At 47.9% G+C, this 24,101-nt stretch overlaps 3 annotated features.

Moving 5' to 3' along the window:
- Positions 12,761-12,910: an enhancer, noted in NCBI's record as "active region_17900". NCBI's record gives its function as "activates an Ori minimal core promoter by ATAC-STARR-seq in GM12878 lymphoblastoid cells {active_cell/tissue: GM12878}" and the evidence as "EXISTENCE:reporter gene assay evidence [ECO:0000049][PMID:35858748]".
- Positions 17,999-18,190: a silencer, noted in NCBI's record as "fragment chr20:42072831-42073022 (GRCh37/hg19 assembly coordinates)". NCBI's record gives its function as "represses an EF-1alpha promoter that drives an FKBP-Casp9 reporter gene in an ReSE screen in phorbol 12-myristate 13-acetate-treated (for megakaryocytic differentiation) K562 erythroleukemia cells {active_cell/tissue: K562(+PMA)}" and the evidence as "EXISTENCE:reporter gene assay evidence [ECO:0000049][PMID:32094911]".
- Positions 18,921-19,123: a silencer, noted in NCBI's record as "fragment chr20:42073753-42073955 (GRCh37/hg19 assembly coordinates)". NCBI's record gives its function as "represses an EF-1alpha promoter that drives an FKBP-Casp9 reporter gene in an ReSE screen in phorbol 12-myristate 13-acetate-treated (for megakaryocytic differentiation) K562 erythroleukemia cells {active_cell/tissue: K562(+PMA)}" and the evidence as "EXISTENCE:reporter gene assay evidence [ECO:0000049][PMID:32094911]".

Below are 24,101 nucleotides of genomic sequence, written 5' to 3' on the forward strand. Positions count from 1 at the left end.
GGAATATCCATGATTTAAAAAACAGCACGTATATCATCTCCTTTAAGTTAAATTTTCTGGCCAGACACACTCAGGAGTTCAAGACGAGCCTGGACAACATAGCGAGACCCTAGTCTCAACAACAACAAAAAATTAGTTTGGTGTCGTGGTGCATGCCTCTAGTCCTAGCTACTTGGAAAGCTGAGATGGGAGGATGGCTTGAGCCCAGGAATTTGAGGCTTCAGTGAGCTGTGATTGCACCACTGCACTCCAGCCTGGGCAACAGAGCAAGACCCTGTCTCTTTAAAAGATAAATAAATAAAATTAAAATAAGTTAAATTTTCTGTAGTATGCAGCGTGTGGTGCTTAAAGAGATGCACATGAAGGCTGGGCACCAAAATGTTAATAATGGTCATCTCATGGTGGTAGGATTCCAGGTAATTATTTCCTTGTCTTTGTAGGAAGGAAGGGAGAAAGGGAGGGAGGGAGAGAGGGAGGAAGAAAACAAGTCTACAGGTCTCATATCCTTACCTCCTATTATCTCTTCAACCCACCCCAACTCCTACTGGGTTTTTTTGTTTTTTGTTTTGAGACAGGATCTCACTCTGTTGTCCATACTGGAGTGCAGTGGTGCCATCACAAGTCACCGCATCCTCCATCTCCCAGACTCAAGCCATCCTCCCACCTCAGCCTCCCAAGTAGCTGGGACCACAGGCATGTGACACTGCGCCTCAATATTTTTTTTATTTTTTGTAGAGACGAGGTCTCAATATGTTGCCCAGGCTGGTCTAGAACTCCTGGCCTCAACTCCCAATTCCTACTTTTGCCAGACCCTAATCTTATCTGACCTCTCACCAGCATTTCGCATTGTTGGCAGATGTCTCCTTGAAATACTCCCTTCAATCAACTTCCATGGCACCCTGCTCCCAAATCCTGCCTCTGCGATCATCACTTCTCAGTCCTCTTTCCATCCCTCCCATCATCTTCCTCTGGATTTTGTCCTCAAACCTGTCCTTTTCTCAGTTTAATTACCATCTAGATGCTAATGTCTCCCAAGCTGCTGTCTTGAACTCCAACCAAACATCTCTAATTGGATGTCCCACAGGTCATCAGACCCAGCATGGCCAAAACTAATCTCATCATCTTTCCCCCAAAAGCTACTGCTTCTTCTCCTGCAGTCCAATCTCAGAGAATGTCAGCATCGCCACCCACCACTTGCTAAAGCCATAATCTTGGATATCATTACTCTCTCCTACTCCCACATCCAGTCGCTCACCAGGTGCTGTCAGTTCTGTCTCCCAAGTCTCTATCCATCCATCCTCTTGTCTGCATCTCCCCTACCCCTGCTTTGATTTGGGCACCATTACATCTCTTGTAAATGACTGAAGCAGCCTGTTCATTCATCTTTCTGTCCACTGCCCCCATTTATCTCCCATAGATGCCAGAGAGATTTTTCTAAACCACAGATCTGACCTCATCACTTCCCTGTTTAAACCTCTTTGAGGATTTCCCATTGCTCTTAAGATCAAGGTCAAACTCTTAGAAAGAGAAAGAAAGAAAGAAAGAAAGAGAGAGAGAGAGAAAGAAGGAAGGAAGGAAGGAAGGAAGGAAGGAAGGAAGGAAGGAAGGAAGGAAGGAAGGAAGGAAAGAAAAAAAAAAAGAAAGAAAGAGGCCGGGCGCGGTGGCTCACGCCTGTAATCCCAGCACTTTGGGAGGCCGAGGAGGGCAGATCACGAGGTCAGGAGATCCAGACCATCCTGGCTAACACGGTGAAACCCCGTCTCTACTAAAAATACAAAAAATTAGCTGGGCATCATGGTGGGTGCCTGTAGTCCCAGCTACTCGGGAGGCTGAGGCAGGAGAATGGCGTGAACCCGGGAGGCGGAGCTTGCAGTGAGCGGAGATCGCGCCGCTGCACTCCAGCCTGGGCGACAGAGCACGAGTCCGTCTCAAAAAAAGAAAAAAAAGAAAGAAAAGAAAAGAAATTGGCCGGGCTTGGTGGCTCACGCCTGTAATCCCAAAACTTTGGGAGGCCGAGGTGGGCAGATCACCTGAGGTCAGGAATTTGAGACCAGCCTGACCAACATGGAGAAACCCCGTCTCTACTAAAAATATAAAAAATTAGCCGGGCGTGGTGGCGGGTGTCTGTAATCCCAGCTACTCAGGAGGCTGAGGCAGGAGAATCTCCTGAACCCGGGAAGCTGAGGTTGCAGTGAGCCGAGACTGCATCACTGCATTCCAGCTGGGAGACAGAAAGACTCCATCTCAAAAAAAAAACAAAACAAATATATATATAACTTTTTTTTTGACAGGGACTCCCTCTGTCGCACAGACTGGAGTGCAGTGGTGCTATCACAGCTCACCGCAGCCTCCATCTCCCGGCCTCAAATGATCCTCCTGCCTCAGCCTCCTGAGTAGCTGGAACCACAGGCACAGGCCACCCCACCCAGCTAATTTTCTGTTTTGTTTTTAGTAGAGATGAGGTTTCACTACGTTGCCCAGGCTGGTCTCAAACTCCTGGCCTAAAGCAATCCTCCCATCTCAGCCTACCAAGGTGCTAGGATGATAGACATGACCCACTGCACCAGGCCAAGATCAAACCCTTAAACATGACACATTGGTTTAAAGATATGCTCAGCCTCCCCCAGCACATGCCATCTCCAGCCCCTGGCCTCTCTCTTTACCACAAATCTAAGAAGCAAGAACACTGCTGTGGGCCCTCTTCAAGGGCTAGGGGCGCTGGAACATTTGGCAGAGGTGAGGATGCCTTTTCCTTTTTGGAAAACTACTTTCCAGGTGGCTGAAGAAGTGAGAGGGCTGAGGTTGCTTCCCCTAGGGCGACAGCCTTCCATCTCCCACTCATCCCTCTGACTCTATTATTCTCAAGAGGTTGGGGCAATGAGCTGGGTGGAGATGACTGACCACAGAGAAGAAAAGCCCAGAGCGGGGATAAAGCCCACTTTTCTTTTGCTTTAGGGAGAAGGTTCTGCACTGATCCACATTCGCAGTGCCCTCCCTTTTTTTTAATTTTTTTTTTTTGGAGACGGAGTTTCGCTCTCGTTGCTGGAGTGCAACGGTGCGATCTTAGCTCACCACAACCTCCGCCTCCCTGTGATTCTCCTGCTCAGCCTCCCGAGTAGCTGGGATTACAGGCATGTACCACCACGCCCAGCTAATTTTGTATTTTTAGTAGAGATGGGGTTTCTCCATGTTAGTCAGAACGGTCTGGAACTCCCAACCTCAGGTGATCCACCTGCCTCGGCCTCCCAAAGTGCTGGGATTATAGGCATGAGCCACCGTGCCCAGCCACCCTTCTTTTTTTGTTTTTTTTTTAGAGACAGTCTTGCTATGTCACCCAGGTTGGAGTACAATGGCTCCATCATAGCTCATTGCAGCCTCTAACTCTTGCACTTAAGCGATCCTCCCCTATCAGCCTCCTGAGTAGCTGGGACTAGAGGTGCATGCCACTGCACCCAGCTCTCCATTCTAATTATTAATACCTTGATATAGAGCTCAGGACCAAGGCGGGAGGGCTCCTCTGCTACTGACTGTCCTCCATACATACACAGCATAGCACTGGGCACAATAACTCTTTATTTTAATCTTTATCAGTGGAGTCTACAGTACACTGTTCCCCTCGGCTTCAAGCTCCCAAGCCAGAAGGTGAGTCTTACTAAAGAAAAAATTACTCACGACACTTGTTAAAGACAATAAGGCAAACTTTTTTGAAGAGGAGACATGACTGTAAGTATAGGGACCACTGGAATGGGGTCCTGCAGCGAGGGAGAGAGACTGGACTCAACTCTGACTGCAACCAGTTCAAGTAGAGATTTATCGCCAAGGAGCAGGGAGAGGAGCTCAACAGAATTTTTGCTGAAGGCAGGCCAGGGTGATAAGATACTGAAGGTGGGGAGTTTTTGCTAAACTGACTTAGCAGGATTCTTGCTCACATTGGATTCTATGAGGATAGAGAGAAGCTCAAGCTCAGGGCTAGATGAGCAGAGGGCTCAGAGGAGCCCAGTGATAGTTTTGGTCTAAGAAGAGAGTCTTTGTCAGCCTCAATAGGCAGAACTTAACTAAGTAGGGAGAAAGGAGAATGTGAGGCTGCAGGCTGGTCAGAGGGCACCCTCTGGTCAGGGTGCCCCATTAAAGTAGCCAAACACTGGCTTTGGGGTCCACCTATGGGTTTTAAGTCCTAGGCCTGAAGTAAGAGGCAGGACTTGACTCTGGAGGCAGGGCTCGGACACCAGGCAGAATTGAGCACTAGCTAAAACAGGGATGGGGTGGAAGCAGCTTTCCTTAAGACACACCCACCAGGGTGCCATGTTTACCGTTGCCATGGCAACACCTGAAAGTTACCACCCTTTGCCATGGCAATGACCCAGCGAGCCAAAAGTTACTACCCCTTCCCTAGAAATTTCTGTATAAACCGCCCATTCACCTACATGTGATTAAAAATAGCTATAAATATAACTGCAAAACTGCCCTGAGCTGCTACTCTTTGCATATACGGTAGCCCTGCTGTGCAGGAGCAGTCACGGAGCTGTAATCAGCCCTGCACATTACTCACTCTGTAACCTTAGGCCTCAGTCTCCCCATGGGTGAAGACAAGGAGACAGAGGGGGCTAGAGTTCCTGTGTGTACTCAGGGTTCTAGGCGCTGGTGCCCGCTTTCCAGAAGGTCCCAGCTGGAATGTTTCCTAAAAAACAAGAGCCAAATGTCTCTTGCTTCACTTCGGCAACTTTCACATTTACATATAAATTGATACCTAATGGTTCTGCCCTCCTTTATCTTAGCCCCAGGTTCTAATGAGCTGGAAAAATGGTCCTGTGCCTGGGAATAACAGAGCTTCCAGGCTAAGGGTGGGAGAGAATAAGTTTCTTCGCTTGCTGTGCCATGGGGAAGGCAGAGAGGGCAGGGGTGAAGGGAATACCATGTCCCTTCTCCACTGGGACCTATGCCACAGTGTCCTAAAGTAGGGGAAAAAAGCGTTTTGTAACAGTATGAAACATGGTGGAAAATCAAGCCTGAAAGTATGTGAAATCCACTACACATTTTGTGAAAAGTGACTCATAATTCTATTTGTTCTTTCCGGTGTACACATTACAGATATTTCATCCAGACAGAAACTGGAAATAAAGATAAGCCAGGAGCGCCATCTGGGACGTGATCTGTCACTAAGGCTAAGGCTTAACCGCTCAAATCCAGAGATCTCTGCAGATACCGGGGATGGGGAGAAAAGTGATAAAGTCCCTCCCCCAAAACACGCACAAACACACACACAAACACACACACACATAAACACACACACAAACACACACACACACACACAAACACACACTCTACTGGTGCCAGGTCCCTCTTAAAGCGCTTTAAATACATCCGCTTATTTAATTCCAACAACCTGTGAAGTTAAGAGTCCCATTTTAGAGACTGAGGAAACTAAGACTTGCTCACCTAAGTGACTGGCAGACTTGGGCTTCAAACCCAGGCCTGTCTGATCCTAAAAGCCCAGGTTAATTTACACAATACCACTACAGCACTAGAGCTTGTCTTTCTTTTCTTCTTTCTTTCTCTTTCTTTATTTCTCTTTCTCCCTTCCTTCCTTTTTTTTTGTAGAGACAGGGTTTCACTATGTTGCCTAGGGTGGTCTTCTTAAACTCCTGAACTCAAGTGATCCTCCCACCTCAGCCTCCCTAAGTTCTGATTGTACAGACATGAGCCACTGTGCAAGGCCTAAAGCAGAAGTTCTTAACTGAGGTCCATGGACAGAATTCAGGGAGTCCGTGGATGAAAAACGAAACTATATCTTTATTTTTTCCTATTTCTAACTCAAATTTAACATTTCCTTCAAATCTGAAAGGGGGCAACAAACCAATATCATTAACTTTGCCTCCAGTGGAAATCACTGATTTTCATATCATATTACAGTTGTTGATATCTCAAAATATCATTTATGGTCATCAATATTTCAAAATATCAGTAGTTAACTGACTCACCACAAGATCTTGTCATTTAGTGCATTAATAAAGAAACACTATGGTAGCCAGGTAGCTCCCAGAAAATAAAGCCCTGCTATGTAGCATTTGCCAATTCCCATGGTGTAAATACTCCTACAATTGCCCATTTCAAGGATGGCTATGTTTAACAACTGGTTTGCAAATTTCCTGAAAATTTAGCAATCAATGTTTGGAAGCACAGACAAGACAGCTTCAGCACACCATGGGCACTAGAGTGAATTTTTCTGGATCTGCCAGAATTCCCTGCAAGTCCTGCAGCCTTCAATGTAATGACATTGGTAATAATGGTAATAGATTTTAAATATTGATTAAATCCTTCTTCTGTTCAAAGCATAATAATAAGCACTTAACATGACCTATCTCATTTAAACTACCAATAATCCAATAAGGCAGGTATTATTGGAGTGGTTTAAAATGGGGGAAAGAGGAAAGGAAAAGTTGTGGTTTTGCCCCCTGGCGATGTCTGGCAATGTCTGGAGACATTCTTGATTGTCCTAACTGGGTTTGCTACTGGCATCTAGTGGGTAGATGCTGCCAAACATCCTTCAATGTACAGGACACACACACTACCTGAGAAAGAATTATCCAGCCCAAAATGTCAGTAGAACTGGGGTTGAGAAATTCTTTATTACTGTTATTCCCTTTTTAAAAATTGGAAAATTGCCACCCATTGAGATTAAGTTGTCCAAGTTCACACAGTTTTCATAGAGTCAGTTATGAGTGAAGACTAGTTCTTACTCCCTGACTCTCCCTTACCAGATGTAGGAAGAGTTGCTTATTACAAAGGAAGCAGGCTGGGCACAGTGGTTCACGCCTGTAATCCCAGCACTCTGGGAAGCTGAGGCGGGCAGATCACTTAGGTCAGGAGTTCAAGACCAGCCTGGCCAACGTGGCAAAACTTCATCTCCACTAAAAATACAAAAATTAGCCAAATATGGTGGCATGAGCCTGTAATCCCAGCTACTTGGGAGGCTGAGGCAGGAGAATCACTTGAACCTGAAAGGCAGAGGTTGCAGTGAGCCAAGATCATGCCATTGCACTCCAGCCTGGGCAACAGAGCGAGACTCTGTCTCAAAAAAAAAAAAAAGAAGAAGAAGAAGAAAGAAAGACAGGAAGGAGGGAAGGAAGGAAGGAAGGAGGGAAGGAAGGAAGGAAGGAGAAAAGAGAGAAAAACAAAAAGAAAGAAAGAAAAAAGAAAGGAAGGAAGGAAAGAAAGAAAGAGAGAAAGAAAAAAGGAAAGGAAAAAAGGAGGGGAAGGGAATAAGGAGGAAGGAAGGAACGAACGAAGGAAGGAAGGATAGAGAGAGAAGAAGGAAAAAGAAAGAAAGAAGGAAGGAAGGGAGGAAAGAAAGGAGGGGAAGGGAAGAAGGAAGGAAGGAGAAAGAAAAAGAAAGAAAGAGCGAGAAAGAAAGAAGGGAGGGAGGAAGGAAGGAAGGAAGGTAGGTGCCTGCTGGGCTGGCCATGGCAATGTGAGTCCAGGATTGGTCTCAAGGAGGCTCAGGCATCACATGTTGAAAGATCCAACCCCAGCTGCTTCTAAAGAGTGAGAAGGGGATGACAGTGACACTCTGTCTCTAAATAAATAAATAAATAAATAAGTGAGGGGATTTGGCCCCAGAAATTATTCTCAAAGTGAGTCAATCTGATGGCCCATTGGGCTGTCTGCAAAATTCATTTAGGACAATAAAATGAAAAGGAACATGGAGATCACTCATTGCATAAATACTTATTAAGAACATACTCTGTGCCTGCACTCTTCTAGGTGGTGGTGGAGTAGTGAACAGAAGCAAAATAGCTCTTGCCCTCATGGAGTGTACAAGCTGGTGGGGGAGTAGAAAAGCAAATGAAGAAGTGGGTTAGAAAAAGTACAGTTGTGATAGATGCTGTGAAGGAAGGAAGTGCGTGAAGTGCTATAGTAAATAATCTCCGTAGGGTCCTCTTTAGAGAGGATAGTCAGGAAGACTTCCCTGAAGAAGGGATATGTGAGCTAAGATCTGAAGGATGCAAAGCCAGCCATGGGAAGAGAAGAGAACAGGCATCGACACAGTGGGACCAGCAGGGCAGGTGATGAGGCTCTGAGCAGAATAAGTTTGCTGTTTTCTAGTCACCAAAAGGAGGTTATTGTGGCCTGGTTCACTGGCTCATGCGTGTAATCTCAGCACTCTGGGAGCCCAGTGTGGGAGGATTGCTTGAGGCCAGGGGTTTGAGACCAGCCTGGGCAACAGAGTGAGACCTCCCACCTCTACAAAAAAGGTAAAAATTAGCCGTGCATGGTGGTATGTGCCTGTAGTCCCAGCTACTCAGGAGGCTGAGGAGAGAGGATTGCTTGAGCTTGAGTTCAAGGCTGCAGTGAGCTAGGATCGAGCCACTGCTCTCCAGCCTGGGCAACAGAGTAAGACCCCATCTCAAAAAAAATAAAATAAAAAGAGAGAGAGAGAGAGATTATTGTGACTGGAGCACAAGGACAGAGGGAAGGGGCAATTCAGGACCAAGGTAAAGAGGTCAGCAGAGACCATGCCACACTGAGCTTTATAGCACTATGTTCCACTCATCTGCCTGCGCTCAGGACTCAAAATAGGTGTGACAAAAAGGAAGCCCCAGGCTATAAGGGCTGGGCAGGTGAGTGTCTAAGGAGGGTGTATTAGTCTGTTCTCACGCTGCTAATAAAGACATACCTGGCCAGGAGCGGTGGCTCACGCCTGTCATCCCAGCACTTTGGGAGGCCGAGGTGGGCAGATCACTTGAGGTCAGGAGTTCGAGACCAGCCTGGCCAATATGGTGAAACCCCGTTTCTGCTAAAAATAAAAAAAAAATGAAGACATATCTGAGACTGGGTAACTTATAAATGAAAGAAGTTTAATTGACTCACAGTTCCACATGGCTGGGGAGGCCTCACAATCATGGCAGAAGGCCAATGAAGAATAAAGTCAGGTCTCACATGGTGGCAGGCAATAGAGCTTGCGCAGGGGAACTCCCATTTATAAAACTATCAGATCTCATGAGACTTATTCACTATCAAGAGAACAGTATGGGGGAAACCACCCCCATGATTCAATCATCTCCACCTGGCCCTGCCCTTGACATGTGGGGATTATTACAATTCAAGGTGAGATTTGGGTAGGGACACAGCCAAACCATATCAGTGGGTGGTGGGGAGGGGTACTTGTAGGTACCTAGAGGGACTTCTAGTCTCTCCCGTGCTCCCACACTCACCTCCCTTAACCCGTCACCTCTACTGACCCAAGATTCCCAAATGCCAGGATCCAAGATGTGAGTGTGTGTATGTATGTGTACAACAATGATGAAGATCAGATGGCATTGGAGAAATCCTCAGCACATGGGACTGGAGGACCAACATGCCTGGCTCTGTGCTGAGAATGTCACACTAATAATTAGTCATTTGATTAGCAGCTGCCCACTTAACCACTGCACTGTTCAACAACAGTCCAATGGACTGGTGCCCTAGAGCTGGATTAACTTTGCAGAGTGGGTGAACAAACTAAGCTCTGCTCAGGGAAGCCCAGAATTCCAGAACAGTGAGACTCATCTCAGAAAGCAGAGAATGGCAGAAGGTGGAGAAAGAGGGGAGGAAACAGACCCTGAGTAAATTCACTGTGCCAGCTGCTACGTGAAGCTTCACTATACATGCATTATCTCATTTCATCCTTCCAACAATACACTTCGGGGGTACCCTTTTCCCTATTCTCCACTCGGAAACTGTATTAGATCCAGTCAAGTCCAGGATTGGAATCCAGGTCTCCCTTTTCCTTGGTGAAGTGCCCACCCAATGTCTGGATTTCACCGTCAGTGATTCAAGGAACTTCTTTATCTATTCAGAATTAAAGAAGTGAGCCGAGGAGCCACTGGTGTGCCCAAGACAAAGATGGCCTCTGAAAGGAGAGAAAATATAGCCCCGATGAGGGGAGGAAATGCTAAACAGAATTTGCCAGAACTCTCCAGAAATAATGAATGCCCAGGAGAAGAGCAAAGGTATTGAGAACTTGGGGAACCATTTGACTGTGTAAAGGGGGTAATATTTTTGAAACTATCAAATAGATCCATCTACTTTTCATCCCTGTGAGTCATGATGCTCTGAATCTCTTCTTTCCACCACCCCCAGCCCCATTAAATCAAGAGGAATGCCGACCCCACCTGAAATAAAGAGGCCATCCTTTAGCTTTGAGTCTGTACAGAGGCCATAGTCTTAAAACCTAGCCTGGTGGGGAATACGGAGAGGTTCTTAATTTCAAAAACTTCCCTTTCCATGCAAAGGCAAATCTGGGAGGTCTGAGCTCTGGTATATATTATAAGCAGTCATTAGATGGCATTCAGTAAAAGAGCTCAGAAGAAGGTGATCTCTTCCAAGCCCAGAAGTGGAACCAAGAAGGCAGGGAGATTCAGAGAAAATGCAACCAAGAGAAAGACGTTGCCTGGAACGCTCAGGGATTCAGTGCCCCGACCTCCCTCAGCCCTTGCCCCAGTATGGGATGGAAAGAAAATAGGAATCCAGGGCTGGGCTCAGTGGCTCACACCTGTAATCCCAGCACTTTGAGAGGCCGAGGCGGGAGGATCACTTGAGGTTGGGAGTTCAAGACCAGCCTGCCCAACATGTGAAACCCCATCTCTACAAAAAATATAAAAATTAGCCAGGCATGGCGGTGCACACCTTTAGTCCCAGCTACTCAGGAGGCTGAGGCAGGAGGGTCGCTTTAACCAGGGAGGTGGAGACTGCAGTGAGCCGAGATCATGCCACTGCACTCCAGCCTAAGCAACAGAGCAAGATTCAGTCTCGAAAAAACGAAAATAGAAATCCCAGAAGGTGAGAGGAAAAGGAGAAATCAGAAAGGGTTTTTCTTCATTGAAGCTCTGAGACTGTGCCTCTGGGTGACCAAGGAGCAGCCAAGATAGCAGAGAGATGGTCGTAGCCTTGGAGGATCCATCAGGGGCAGTCACAAAAACAGAGCCTCTACAAGCACTGTGGGAATCAGATTTCATATTGGAACAAGAACTCACGCAGATGTGGGATAACTTAGAGGTGGAAATCAGAGGGCCAGACAAAGAGCCACTATCATGTCTGCTGGAGCCACTGATGTGAGTGGACACACCACAGCTTGCAGGGAGAATCCAAGAAGCTCTTCCTGTCTGCCCAAAGGAGGCCATGAATGAGGTCCTTACAGAGGGGTTGTAGCAATGGAGAATAAAAAAAAAAAAAAAAAAAAAGACAAATTTGAGAGATGCTTAGAGGTGGAACTGAAAGTCCAGAAATGGTATAGCAGGGAGAGGGGAGGGAAAGGGTGGGGGGCAAGGGAACCCTAGATTTTTGACTTGAGCAGCTAAGTGGACTGAGCACTGTGCAGTAAGATGGGAAAGATGGGGGAGGGAGCAGGGTCAGGACTAGAGTGAGCAAGTGAGGTACTCACTTCAGACACCAAATATAAGGCTGCGCCTCCAAAAAAAATCATTAAAAAATATAAATAATGTTTTAATGTGGTAATTTTTTTAAAAAAAATCAAAATGAATGCAAAAAAAAATCCATGAAGAACAAGATCAGGGTTACTGATTTTTCCTTTTGCCTCAGGCTTCAATATGGCTCAGCACAGCACTATTTCTGATCCTGTCTTGATTAAAATGTTTAATCTTTTGCTCACCATGGGTTTTTTTTGCATTCATTTATTCCTTTTTAATACTGCATCAAAATATTATTTGATGGCTGTGTTTTCTGGTGCCACCCACATTTTGCACCTAGGATGAGAGCTTCACTCACCTCCCCATTTCCAGCCCAGAGGAAGAAGCCTGGGGAAAGGAGGTTAACTAAGGTTCAGTCTTGGATATACATGGGGATTAAAATAGATCTCAGGGCTGAGCATGGTGGTTCATGCCTGTAATCCCAGCACTTTGGGAGGCCGAGGCGGGCAGATTACCTGAGGGTAGGAGTTCGAGACCAGCCTGGCCAACTTGGCAAAACCCCGTCACTACCAAAAATACAAAAATTAGCTGGGCATGGTAGCAGGTGCCTGTAATCCCAGCTACTTGGGAGGCTGAAGCAGGAGAATTGCTTGAACCTGGGAGACGGAGGTTGCAGTGAGCCGAGATTGCGTCACTGCACTCCAGCCTGCCCCTGGGCAACAGAGCAAGACTCAGTTCTCAAAATAAATAAATAAATAAATAACCTCAGGTGTGAAGTGCCTGGACCAGAGAGGACCTTTAACCTGTATTGTAGTGGATTCTGTGGGTACCTGGCTTGTTCCCTAGGTCTAACCATTTCAGGGCACAACAGCTGCCATCACCTGCATTTCCTGCCTCAGGACTCTCTTGGCCACCAAATGAGAGATACTGGAAGTGCTGGGTAATTAACAGCCCCCCCATCCCCATCCCCCCACACACACACCCCCACACCCCCACCCAGCAGCCTTCTGAGGCAGGAGAATGGGGTCTGGAGGCAGGGAACCTAAGGCCCTTTCAGGCTGACTCCCTAGAACTAAATTGAAAGAAAAACCATAACTTTCCATACCTAAGTAAAAAAAGGACCAGAGTCTACACCCTTTGCAAACACCCACCTTTTCTGCGGGGCAGATGGGAAATGAAAGTACCAAGACGTTTGCATAGGAGTGTAACTTTGTGATTTCACTTCAGCCTCTGATTATGGGCCACCACTTCATTTACATGAGGTGAACACCAAGTGGCCAATGGGAAACCTCTAGCGGATATTTGGACCAGAGAAGATTCTGTATCCAGGGCCTGCTCCCACACTGTAGAGTGTACTTTCATTTTAAATTTCTGCTTTTGTTGCTTCATTCTTTCCTTGCTTTGTGCATTTTGTCCAATTCTTTGTTCAAGACGCCAAGAACCTGAACACCCTCCACGAGTAACACTTCAACTACTGATCCACAGGAGTTGGTGTATAAATACCCCAGCTCCCTCGCCCCTCAGATGGGACCATTTTGAGATATATATGTTGCACCATTTCCCAGAGTCCAGGTGAGATGAAGCTCCAGTTGTCCAAAGTGTAACTGATTGGATAATATACCCATATGCTCTGTCCCTTCCCCATCTCAATTCTCTCCCCTGTTAATGGCGTTTCCCAGGGTGACTTCCCAAAACCACTGCATGCACTTGAATCCTTGTCTCAGGGCCTGCTTTTAGGACAACTGAACCAAGAGACCTATGCGTCCTTCCTTTTTCCCCCTCTTCTCTGTGGAAACATAGAATGTTCTGCACACACTTGGAAGTCTGAGCATACCCTCTAAGGAGAGACCCCTGACTCCCAGCATTCCCCTGGGACGGAGGTCTGTAGGGTGGTAATTGCCAGCCAGCGCTAGGAGGACTGGATCTGAAATGGGCTTGGCTGTGTTTCTGTAATCTCTGCACCTTGAGTGGAAAAATAATTGGTAGACACCTTTCTTGGCCATTAATTCTTTACAGCCAACACTGAGCCCTTGAGGCAAAAACTGATTGTCTGCAGTTACTGCCTGCCTGGTCCTGAATTCAGAACAGGAAGCCTGACTCTCCCCCACCCTTTATTACAGACAACCACTCCTCCCTCTTGCAGAGATGAGATGCCCTCCCTCACTTCCTCCCAGAGTCCAAGAGGGGCCAGAGAAGGCTGGTTGTACAGATTGGAGGAGACATAAATGCCCCTCAAGCCAGAGGAACTAAGGGTTGAGAGCCATGAGTTAAAAATCATGGAAGGCATAGCCTTTATTCATGCTTTCTTTTTTAAAAATATTTTTCATCATGCACACTTTTTGCCCATTAATACCCACACAACAACTTATGCAGTAGATGTTACTCTTAACACCCATTTTATAGATGAAGAGGCTCAGAGAAAAAGAGGGGCTTAGCCCAGGCCACATAGAGAATAAACTGATTTGGACACAGGTCTGTCTGACTCCAAACACCATTCTCTTCTTCATGCTATAGGTTGTTTTTCTCCCTTCAGTAAACGTTTCTTGAGCACCTACATGTCCCACGCCCCATGCTGGCCTGAAGGAGGACACAAAGATAGGTAAGAACCATTTGTTCCCTTCAGGAGGAAGAGATAAAATCTCCCCAGTTCTTCCCATTTCTGCCCATTCCCTATACAGAGGGTCAGCATTTGCTTGTTGTTTTTTGTTTTTTGTTTTAGACAGTCTCGATCTGTTGCTCAGGCTGCAGTGGCATGATCTTGGCTCACTGCAACCTCCCCCTCCCAGTTCAAGTGATTCTCCTGCCTCAGCCTCCTGGGTAGCTGGGACTACAGATGCCTGCCACCACGCCTGGCTAATTTTTGTATTTTTAGTAGAGACGGAGTTTCACCATTTTGGCCAGGCTAGTCTCGAACTCCTGACCTCATGTGATCTGCCCCCCTCAGCCTCCCAAAGTGCTGGGGTCACAGGCGTGAGCCACCACGCCCACTCAGCATCTATTTTTATAAGATGTATATATTGCCTATAGCAGCTTTAATGCTACAAATTTGAGTAGGTGTAGCAGAGACCATGTGGCCCACAAAGCTGAAATATTGGCTGCCTGGCCCTTTACAGGAAAAGTTTGCCAACTCCTGGTCCACACCGTGCCAGGCACTGACGATGCACCACCACACTTACTTCTCAACTCGACTCTGGAAGGTGTCCTACTACGATGTCCATGCTACAGATGAGAAATGAGGCTCAGAGGCAGGAGATGGCTTGTCCCATTGCTGGAAAGGTACAAAGTTGGATAATTCCAAAGCCCACCACGGCTCCAAGCCACATAAAAAATGTTGATGGCCAATGTTTTGAAACATTAGCATTCACTCTTGAAAGAGCTCACAACCGGCCAGCGCAGTAGCTCACGCCTGTAATCCCAGCACCTTGGGAGGCCAAGGTGGGCAGATCATGATTTTAGGAGATCAAGACCATCCTGGCTAATACGGTGAAATCCCATCTGTACTAAAAATACAAAAAATTAGCCGGGTTTGGTGGGCAAGCGCCTGTAGTTCCAGCTACTTGGGAGGCTGAGGCAGGAGAATCGCTTGAACCCGGGAGGCAGAGGTTGCAGTGAGCCAAGATGACACCACTGCACTCCAGCCTGGGTGAGAAAGCGAGAGTCTGTCTCAAAAAAAAAAAAAAAAGAAAGAAAGAGCTCACAACCTCCATTAGCAGTGGGCCACTGGACTATCCCCATAGTCCCCACTCCGCAAACACCTACATCTGCCATGTTGTCTTAGAGAGACCTGAACCTGGTCAGGTCCCCAGTCCTGCACGGGTGCCCTTCTCCTACAGGCACCAGAAGACCTTTCACTGTGGTGAACAGGCATTCATGAGTTCATCCAAAATCTGAGGCTGGTGTCATGATCTTCTGTTACTCAGTCTTTGTGGGAGGGCAGGTTCACATCTGAAGGAGGAGCTGAAAGTTGGCTGGAGTGCACCACATGGCAAAAGTGGCCCGTTTATGAGAAGCTCCTTAAACTTGGTCTTTTTCTCTACTCCTGTGAGACAGGTAAGATGCTTAAATCTACACTTTTTTTTTTTTTTTTAAGAGACAGGTTCTTGCTCTCTTGCCCAGGCCGGAGTGCAATACCACGATCCTAGCTCACTGCAGGCTTGAACTCCTGGGATCAAGCGATACTCCCACATAGCTGGGACTACAGGTGCCCGCCACCATGCCCAGCTATTTTTTTTTTGTTTGTTCGTTTGTTTGTTTTTGGTAGAGATGAGGTTGTGCTGTATAGCGCAAGCTGGTCTCAAACTCCTGGGCTCAAGCAATTCTCCCGCCTTGGCCTCCCAAAGTGCTGGGATTAGCAGCCCTGAGCCACCACGCCCAACTATATTACCTAGTTCTTTTTTTTTTTTTTTTTTTTTTTTTGAGATGGAGTCTCACTCTGTCTCCCAGGCTGGAGTGCAGTGGTGCAATCTCGGCTCACTGCAAACGCCACCTCCCAGGTTCAAGCGATTCTCCTACTTCAGCCTCCCAAGTAGCTAGAATTACAGGCATGTGCCACCACACCCAGCTAATTTTTGTATTTTTAGTAGAGATGGGGTTTCGCTATGTTGGTCAGGCTGGTCTCAAACTCCTGACCTCAGGTGATCCGCCCACCTTGGCCTCCCAAAGTGCTGGGATTACAGCCATGAGCCACTGCTCCTGACTACATTAACTAGTTCTTATCAGGAGCTGACTGCCTTTAGCATACACAATTTGCACTGTTGTCCTCCCAGCACTCACCTTCACAAGCCAAAGGCTTGCTCGCAACTCCTACCTCCCAGCCCTGGGGCTTCTTAATTTCTGGCTGTGGAAGAAGATTCAGCCAATCAAGCAAGCAGGAAATGCCAGAGTGAACACTCCTGGAAGCAAGCTTCAACCAAGGGCAGCTGGGCAGTTAACGTATGAACACCCAGCTTTCTCCCTGCTTGGCTGGGAGGCCATCCTCTCCCCTCTGTCCGAGGTGTGTTCTGCCCCGTCTCCCAGAGTTCACAGAGGCATGAAGCTCCAGTTGCTCTGGGCTGTCCTCATCCCACAAACACATTGGCTGACTTCCTCCCATTCCCTGTCTCACATCTTCTCCTACTGGTGCTTGCTGGGATCACCTCCCAAATCAACTACTTGTAAAATAATACTGAGAATCTTGTCTCAGAGGCTGCTTCTGGAAAAATTCAGAGACAAGCACCAAGAGTTCTTCATGCCCTCTCACCTGATCCTGACACTGCCCCGGGAGCCAGCTTCATCCCCATTTTTCTGAGGTGTCGGCTGAGGGGCTCACAGAGGTAAAGCAAGCAGAACCCCAGCCTGCTAGGCATTAGCAAGGGCCAGAGGGCTCAAGAAAAGGTCCTGCATCAGGCATGGTGGCTCACGTATATAATCCCAGCACTTTGGGAGGCCAAGGCAGGCGGATTACTTGAGTCCAGGAGTTCGAGAGCAGCCTGGGCAACATGGCAAAACCCTGTCTCTACAAAAAAAATCAGCCAGGCACGGTGGCTCATGCCTGTAATCCCAGCACCTTGGGAGGCCGAGGTGGGTGGATCATGAGGTCAGGAGATCGAGACCATCCTGGCTAACACGGTGAAACCCCGTCTCTACTAAAAATACAAAAAGTTAGCCAGGCATGGTGGCGGGCACCTGTAGTCCCAGCTACTTGGGAGGCTGAGGCAGGAGAATGGCATGAACCCGGGAGGCGAGCTTGTAGTGAGCCGAGATCGTGCCACTGCACTCTAGCCTGGGCAACAGAGCCAGACTCCATCTCAAAAAAAAAAAAAAAAATCAAAAACTTAGCCAGATGTCGTGGCTCATGCCTATGGTCCCAGCTACTCGGGAGGCTGAGGTGGGAGGATCGCTTGAGCCCAGGAGATGGAGGCTGTAGTGAGCCATGATCATGCCACTTAACTCCAGCCTGGGCGACAGAGCAAAACCCCATCTCAAATAACTAAATAAAATAAAAAGAAAGCGTCCTGGTCTTCATCACAGAGTGAAACTGTCCCAAACCGAGGCTACACTCCAACCTTCCAGCTCTTTCTGCTCCAGGTCCAGCTCCCACCTCCCATGTAGCCATCCTCTATCCAAGAAGATGGCTGTAATGGGACCAGAATCAGCCTGTCATAAAAGATGGAGAACTAAGAGCTCTCCATAAAAATGATCTCCATGGCAAAATTAGGAGGGAAAAACAGCATGGATGAAAGTTGCATTTATTAAATAATAATCGCGAACGCTCACTTCATGCCTACTGTATGCTAGCTGCTGTTCCAAGTGTTTTACAATGAAATAAATTTTTAAAATTTTTGCACAACTCTTTGAGATAGGCACTATTGCTTTCTTCATTTTACAGTCAAGGAACTGAGGCACGAGAAAGTTATGAAGTTTGTCCAGGGTCATAAAGCTAGCAGATGAGGGAACTAGACTCAGGCAGTATAACTCCAGCTACAGTCATTACAATGAGCCACACAACGCAGTGGGTCAAGGAGGAGCCACTCACACAAAGATCGTCCCATAAGATTATAACCGTATTTTCAACATACTTTTCTATGTTTAGATGAGGTTGGAGGCAGGACTGGACTCGAGGTGGAGCTTGCACACCAGACCAGATTGAAGACTAGCTGAAACAGGAAAGAGGTAAAAGGATGCTCTGTAAGACACACCCACCAGTGCCCTGTCAGTTTACTGTTGCCATGGCAACACCCGGACGTTCTCACCCCTTCCCATGGCAATGACCCGTCTACGCAGAAGTTACTGCTATTTTTCTAGAAATTTCTTCATAATCCACCCCTTAATTTGCATGTAATTAAAAGTGGATCTTGACCGGCTGCAGTGGCTCATGCCTGTAATCCCAGCACTTCGAAAGGCTGAGGCAGGAGGATCACCTGAGATCAGGAGTTTGAGACCAGTCTGGCCAATATGGTGAAACCCCGTCTCTACTAAAAATACAAAAATCAGCCGGGTATGGTAGCAGGCGCCTGTAATCCCAGCTACTACAGAAGCTGAGGTGGGAGAATCGCTTGAACCCTGGAGGCAGAAGTTGCAACGAGTCGAGATCGCGCCAATGCACTCCAGCCTGGGTGACACAGCAAGACTCGATCTCAAAAAAAAAAAAAAAAAGTGAATATCAATATGAGTGCAGAACTGCCCCTGGCCCTGAGCTGCTATTCTGTCACACTGCCTGTGGCAGTACCTCTGTGGCTGACGTACGCTGCTTCAATAAAAGTTGCTAACATCACCGGCTCACCCTTGAATTCTTTCCTGGACAAAGACAAGAACTCTCCCAAGCTAAGCCCCAATTCTGGGGCTTGCCAGTCTGGCGTCATCCATACACAGACACTTCCCACTGTGTTACCATCGTCTATGTTATGGGGTCAGTTGCATGCTGCAGTTTGTAGCCTAGGGGTGGCAGGCTGCACCAGCCCTAGTGTGTGGGAGGCTATCCCATCTAGGGATGTATAGTGGACTCTATGATGTTCACACAGGGTTGAAATCACCTAATACAACTTTTCTCAGAACATATCCCCGTCTTTAAGGGACACACGGCTGTACTCCCAACCCTCTTCCCCATAGGGTGCCTGTGGCACAAAGTGGGTTCTCTCAATGATCCGTTGAGAGACACTGTGGCACTGCGGGAGACAGCGTCCCCTACAGGCCTGGAGGTCCCAGTTTTCGGTTTTGTTCAGATGTGAAGGAAGTTCTGGCATCTGCCTAGGGTGGGGTGAATTTTTTAGGTGGGGGGTGGGGAATGGAGTCTCCCTCTGTTGCCCAGGCTGGAGTGCCGTGGTGTGATCTTGGCTCACTGCAGCCTCCACCTCCCGGGTTCAAGCGATTCTCCTGCCTCAGCCTCTGGAGTAGTTGGAATTACAGGCACGCACCACCATGCCCTTTTGTATTCTTAGCAGAGACGGGGTTTTACCATGTTTAGCCAGGCTGGTCTCAAACTCCTGACCCTCAAGTGATCCGCCCACCTCAGCCTCCCAAAGTGCTGGGATTACAGGCATGAGCCACTGCACCGGGCCTTAGGGTGGGATGAAAGAGGCTTAACCAAGGCTCTCTGAGGACAAAAACATGGGATGACCTTCTTAGCTTTTTTTTTTTTTTTTTTTGAGAGGGAGTTTTGCTCTTGTCACCCAGGCTGGAATGCAGTGGCACGATCGTGGCTGGCTGCAACCTCTACCTCCCGGGTTCAAGCGATTCTCGTGCCTCAGTCTCCCGAGTAGCTGGGACTACAGGTGCCTGCCACCATGCCTGGCTAATTTTTGTATTTTTTAGTAGAGACGGGGTTTCACTGTGTTGGCCAAGCTGGTCTCAAACTCCTGACCTCAGGTGATGCACCCACCTCGGCTTCCCAAAGTGCTGGAATTACAGGCGTGAGCCACTGCGCCTGGCCAGCTTTGTTTTTTATCATCTTTATTGATACATAATTTACATATGGTAAAGTGCACCTATTTTAAGTAGACAGTTCAATGAGTTTTGACAAATATATACGTTTGTGTAGACATCGCAATAATCATGATCTGGAACATTTCCCTCACTCCTTCCTGCCTCTCGACAGTCAATTCCCTCCTCCAGTCGCCAGCTGGGGCAGCCACTTATCTGCTTGCTGTCCCTTCAGTTCCACCTTTCCTAGTGTGGTCCCCTGAGCATCTGCCTCTCGGCTCTGCAGGAGGATTTTAACACGCAGGGCCCCAGGCCCTGCATGCACCCAGGGAGCCTGATGCTGATGATGGGACCCACATATCCGTGTTTCAGTGGTGCTCGCCAATGCCTGAGACCACTGCCTTGGGACTGCGATTTTTGGATGGCCCACCTGGGCCTGTCTCATCTGGTTATGTCCCCTGAGATGAGCACTGTGCCCGGGCTAGTTGGGGTGCCTGAAAACAACTCATTTCCCCTCACTCTCCAAGGAGGTACATTCTGTACCTCTGCCATGTGGCAGACCCGCTCAGCTTTTCCTGCCTGTGACATTAGAGGGCCACCATGTGAGGCAGCTTTTGCTACCAGAATAAGGGCTGCAGTGAAAAGCACATGCACCCCCGAGGCAATCAGGAACATGCTTCCATTATATCTGTCCAGATGACAGCATGTGGAACTAATGATGAGTAAAAGGTCTGCAAGCCACAGCCTGGCCAGGCCGGAAACCTGCATGCACCAGCTTCAGGAAAGATCTGAGAGGGGACCTCAGTGCTGCTTCCTGCAGGATTCTGACAGGCTTGAAGACAATGCTGCTAACTGAAGTATGCTGTGGGCTGTAACTGTCTCTGATCTTCCCCATGGCCTCATGCTCTTCACCTGACATGTGGCCAACTAGGATTTTCCTCATCAACTTTTTTTTTTTTTTTTGAGACAGAGTTTCACTCTTGTGCCCAGGCTGGAGTACAATGGTGCAGTCTCAGCTCCCTGCTACCTCTATCTCTTGGGTTCAAGCCATTCTCCTGCCTCAGCCTCCTAAGGAGCTGGGATTACAGGTGCCTGCCACCATGCCTGGCTAATTTTTGTATTTTTAGTAGAGACGGGGTTTCACCAAGTTGGCCAGGCTGGTCTCGAACTCCTTACCTCAGGTGATCCGCCCACCTCAGCCTCCCAAAAGTGCTGGGAATACAGGTGTGAGCCACCACACCTGGCATTCTCATCAGCATTTCTATTTCACCACTGCCCCGGAAACCCGGGCAATGATCCTGAGTCTACCCACCAGTACCTACTGGATTTCCATTCTGCTGACTGGCCTGCTTCCACATTTGCCACAATGGACAATTTCAAAAGCTTCTTTTTTTTTTTTTTTTTTTAAGAGATGGGGTCTTGTCTAGGTACAATGGCTCACACCTGTAATCCCAGCACTTTTGGAGGCCAAGGTGGGCACATCACTTGAGGTCAGGAGTTCAAGACCAGCCTGGCCAACATGGTGAAATCCCTGTCTCTACTAAAAATACAAAAATTAGTTGGGCATGATGGCGCATACCTGTAGTCCCAGCTACTCAGGAGGCTGAGGCAGGAGAATCACTTGAACCCAGGAGACGGAGGTTGCAGTGAGCCGAGATCCAACCGCTGCACTCCAGCCTGGGCGACAGAGTGAGACTCTGTCTCAAAAAAACAAAAAACAAAAAGAGATGGGGTCTTGCTATGTTGTCCAGTTTGGATTCAAACTCCTAGACTCAAGTAAGCCTCCTGCTCCAGCCTCCCAAGCAGCTGGGACTATGGGCACTCATCACCCTTCCCAGCTTTTTCCAGGAGCTTCTTGATTCCAATCTGGCTCCAAGCAGCAGGAGAAGTAGGACTGAGTGAGGAATTGGGCTCCAGCCACCACCAAAGGCCGCAGCTCTTACCTGGCGTAGAGAACAACAAACTGTGGCACCAACAGTCATATCCAGACAAGTCCAGGAAGGCCAAGGTCAGCTCTGAGGGCCACACATGAAACTGAGCACGTCAGCAGTGAGCAGCCAGAAGGATGAACAGACTTGAAACCAGATCACAGGAGGGATATCTGGGGATGTGTTAGTCCATTCTCACACTGCTATAAAGATAATACTGAGACTGAGTAATTCATAAAGAAAAGAGTTTTAATTGACTCGTGGTTCTGCATGGCAGGGGAGGCCTCAGGAAACTTACAATCATGGCAGAAGGTGAAGGGGAAGCAGGCACGTCTTACCTGGCAGCAGGAGAGAGAGAGAAGAGAGAGAGAGGGGAGAAAGCAGGGAGAGGGAGAGGGAGAGGGAGAGACAGGGAGGGAGAGAGAGGGAGAGAGGAAGGAAGGGAGAGAGGGAGAGAGAGGAAGGGAGAGGGAGAGAGGGAGGGAGGGAGAGAGGGAGGGAGGGAGGGAGAGAGGGAGGGAGGGAGAGAGGGAGGGAGGGAGGGAGAGAGGGAGGGAGGGAGAGAGGGAGGGAGGGAGAGAGAGATCGAGAGAGAGAGATAGATAGAGATAGAGAGAGATAGAGAGAGAGAGAGAGCACAAAAGAGAAACTGCCACTTATAAACCATTAGATCTCATGAGAACTCCCTCACTATCACGAGAACAGCATGGGGGAAACCACCCCCGTGACCCAATTGTCTCCCACCAGGTGCCTCCCTCCACGGGGGGATTACAATTTGAGATGAGATTTGGGTGGAGACACAGAGCCTAACCATATCAGGGAGACTATGGGCATTTAGCCAGAAGAGAGGACATGAATAGAGCATCTGAGTGCTGACCCCAACATCTGAAAGACCCATTTGTGGGAAACAGATGTATTTGCACAGCCTCGGGCACAGCCAGGACCAGTGGGTAGACAATTCAAGGAAGGCAATTGTTTATATAAAGAATTAATAACACACAGTGAAAGATGTCCAACAATGGACTTGGACCCCCAGTTAAACAGTGAACTCTCCAACAGGGGTGTAGCCAAGTGAGGGCCAGAAAACTTCTAGGTGAATAAGAGGCTTGACAATTAGAAGACTTGGATTCGGGGACCTTCAAGAACCTTCTATCAATAGCTGTGAGCTTCTTTCAGGCAGGAATGAGCCGCTGTTAATTTTTCTGCCACCGTAATCACACTGATAGCCACCAGGTGGCAACAAAGCCACACCTTCAGCACCATGGATCATGTCCTAGCCAACAGAAAACCCATTGGAAAACAAGCCCCCTGCCCCCTCAACCAAACCATAAACAACTAATTGATTCAGATTAATTAACATTTCTGGACAAAGACTGTAAATCAAGTTCTCAACCGAGCGTGGTGTAATCCCAGCACTTCGGGAGGCCGAGGTGGGCAAATCACAAGGTCAGAAGTTTGAGACCAGCCTGGCCAACATGGTAAAACCCCAACTCTACTAAAAATACAAAAATTAGCCAGGAGTGATGGCACACGCCTGTAATCCTAGCTACTCAGGAGGCTGAGACAGGAGAATTGCTTGAACCCAGGAGGCAGAGGTTGCAGTGAGACAGGAGCATCACTTGAACCCAGGAAGTGGAGGTTGCAGTGAAACAGGAGAATTGCTTGAACCCAGGAGGTGGAGGTTGCAGTGAGCTGAGATCGTGTCACTGCACTCCAGCCTGGTGGCACAGCGAGACTCCATCTCAGAAAAAACAAATAAATAAAGTTATCAGTAGAGCTTTAGTTACCAGCATGACCCAGAGGGCTCTAGGTGAAGTGTGTAATTGTAATTTTCTTTAGAGATTTATCATCTTTTTTGTTTTAATTTTCCGGTGAAGTACAACATGCATACAGTAGCATGCACAAATCATCAGCACACAGCTCAGCGCCTCTTCATAAACAGAGCACCCCCGTACCCAGCTCAAGAAACAAAATGTGATCAGAATTCCAGCAGCCCCTCATACCCCTTCCTAGCCCTCCCCTCCCTAGGTTACGGTGACAGCCACTACCAGCTTTCAGCTTTAATGGACACCACCATGCAGCTTTCCAAAGTGATTGTGCCAATTTACACTGCCAACAACAATCTGAGAGTTCCAGTGGCTCCAGAGCCACACTGGAATTTTCTGTTTGGATAAGTCTTGGCGGAGGAAATGTGGGATCTGGTGAGGACATCCTTGCTCCCCTCTGAAGGTGGTGTGTCTGGGCAGCACTAACCAGAAGGTGGAAGATTCCATCCCACCAGCACATCCTGGTGAACCCATCAGCACACTAATATCTGCTGAATGGAGAGTCTCGCTTCACGTGCTCTGCACAATGTCCCAGAGTGGCGCTG

Source organism: Homo sapiens, chromosome 20 (assembly GCF_000001405.40).
Source record: "Homo sapiens chromosome 20, GRCh38.p14 Primary Assembly".
Classification (NCBI taxonomy): domain Eukaryota; kingdom Metazoa; phylum Chordata; class Mammalia; order Primates; family Hominidae; genus Homo; species Homo sapiens.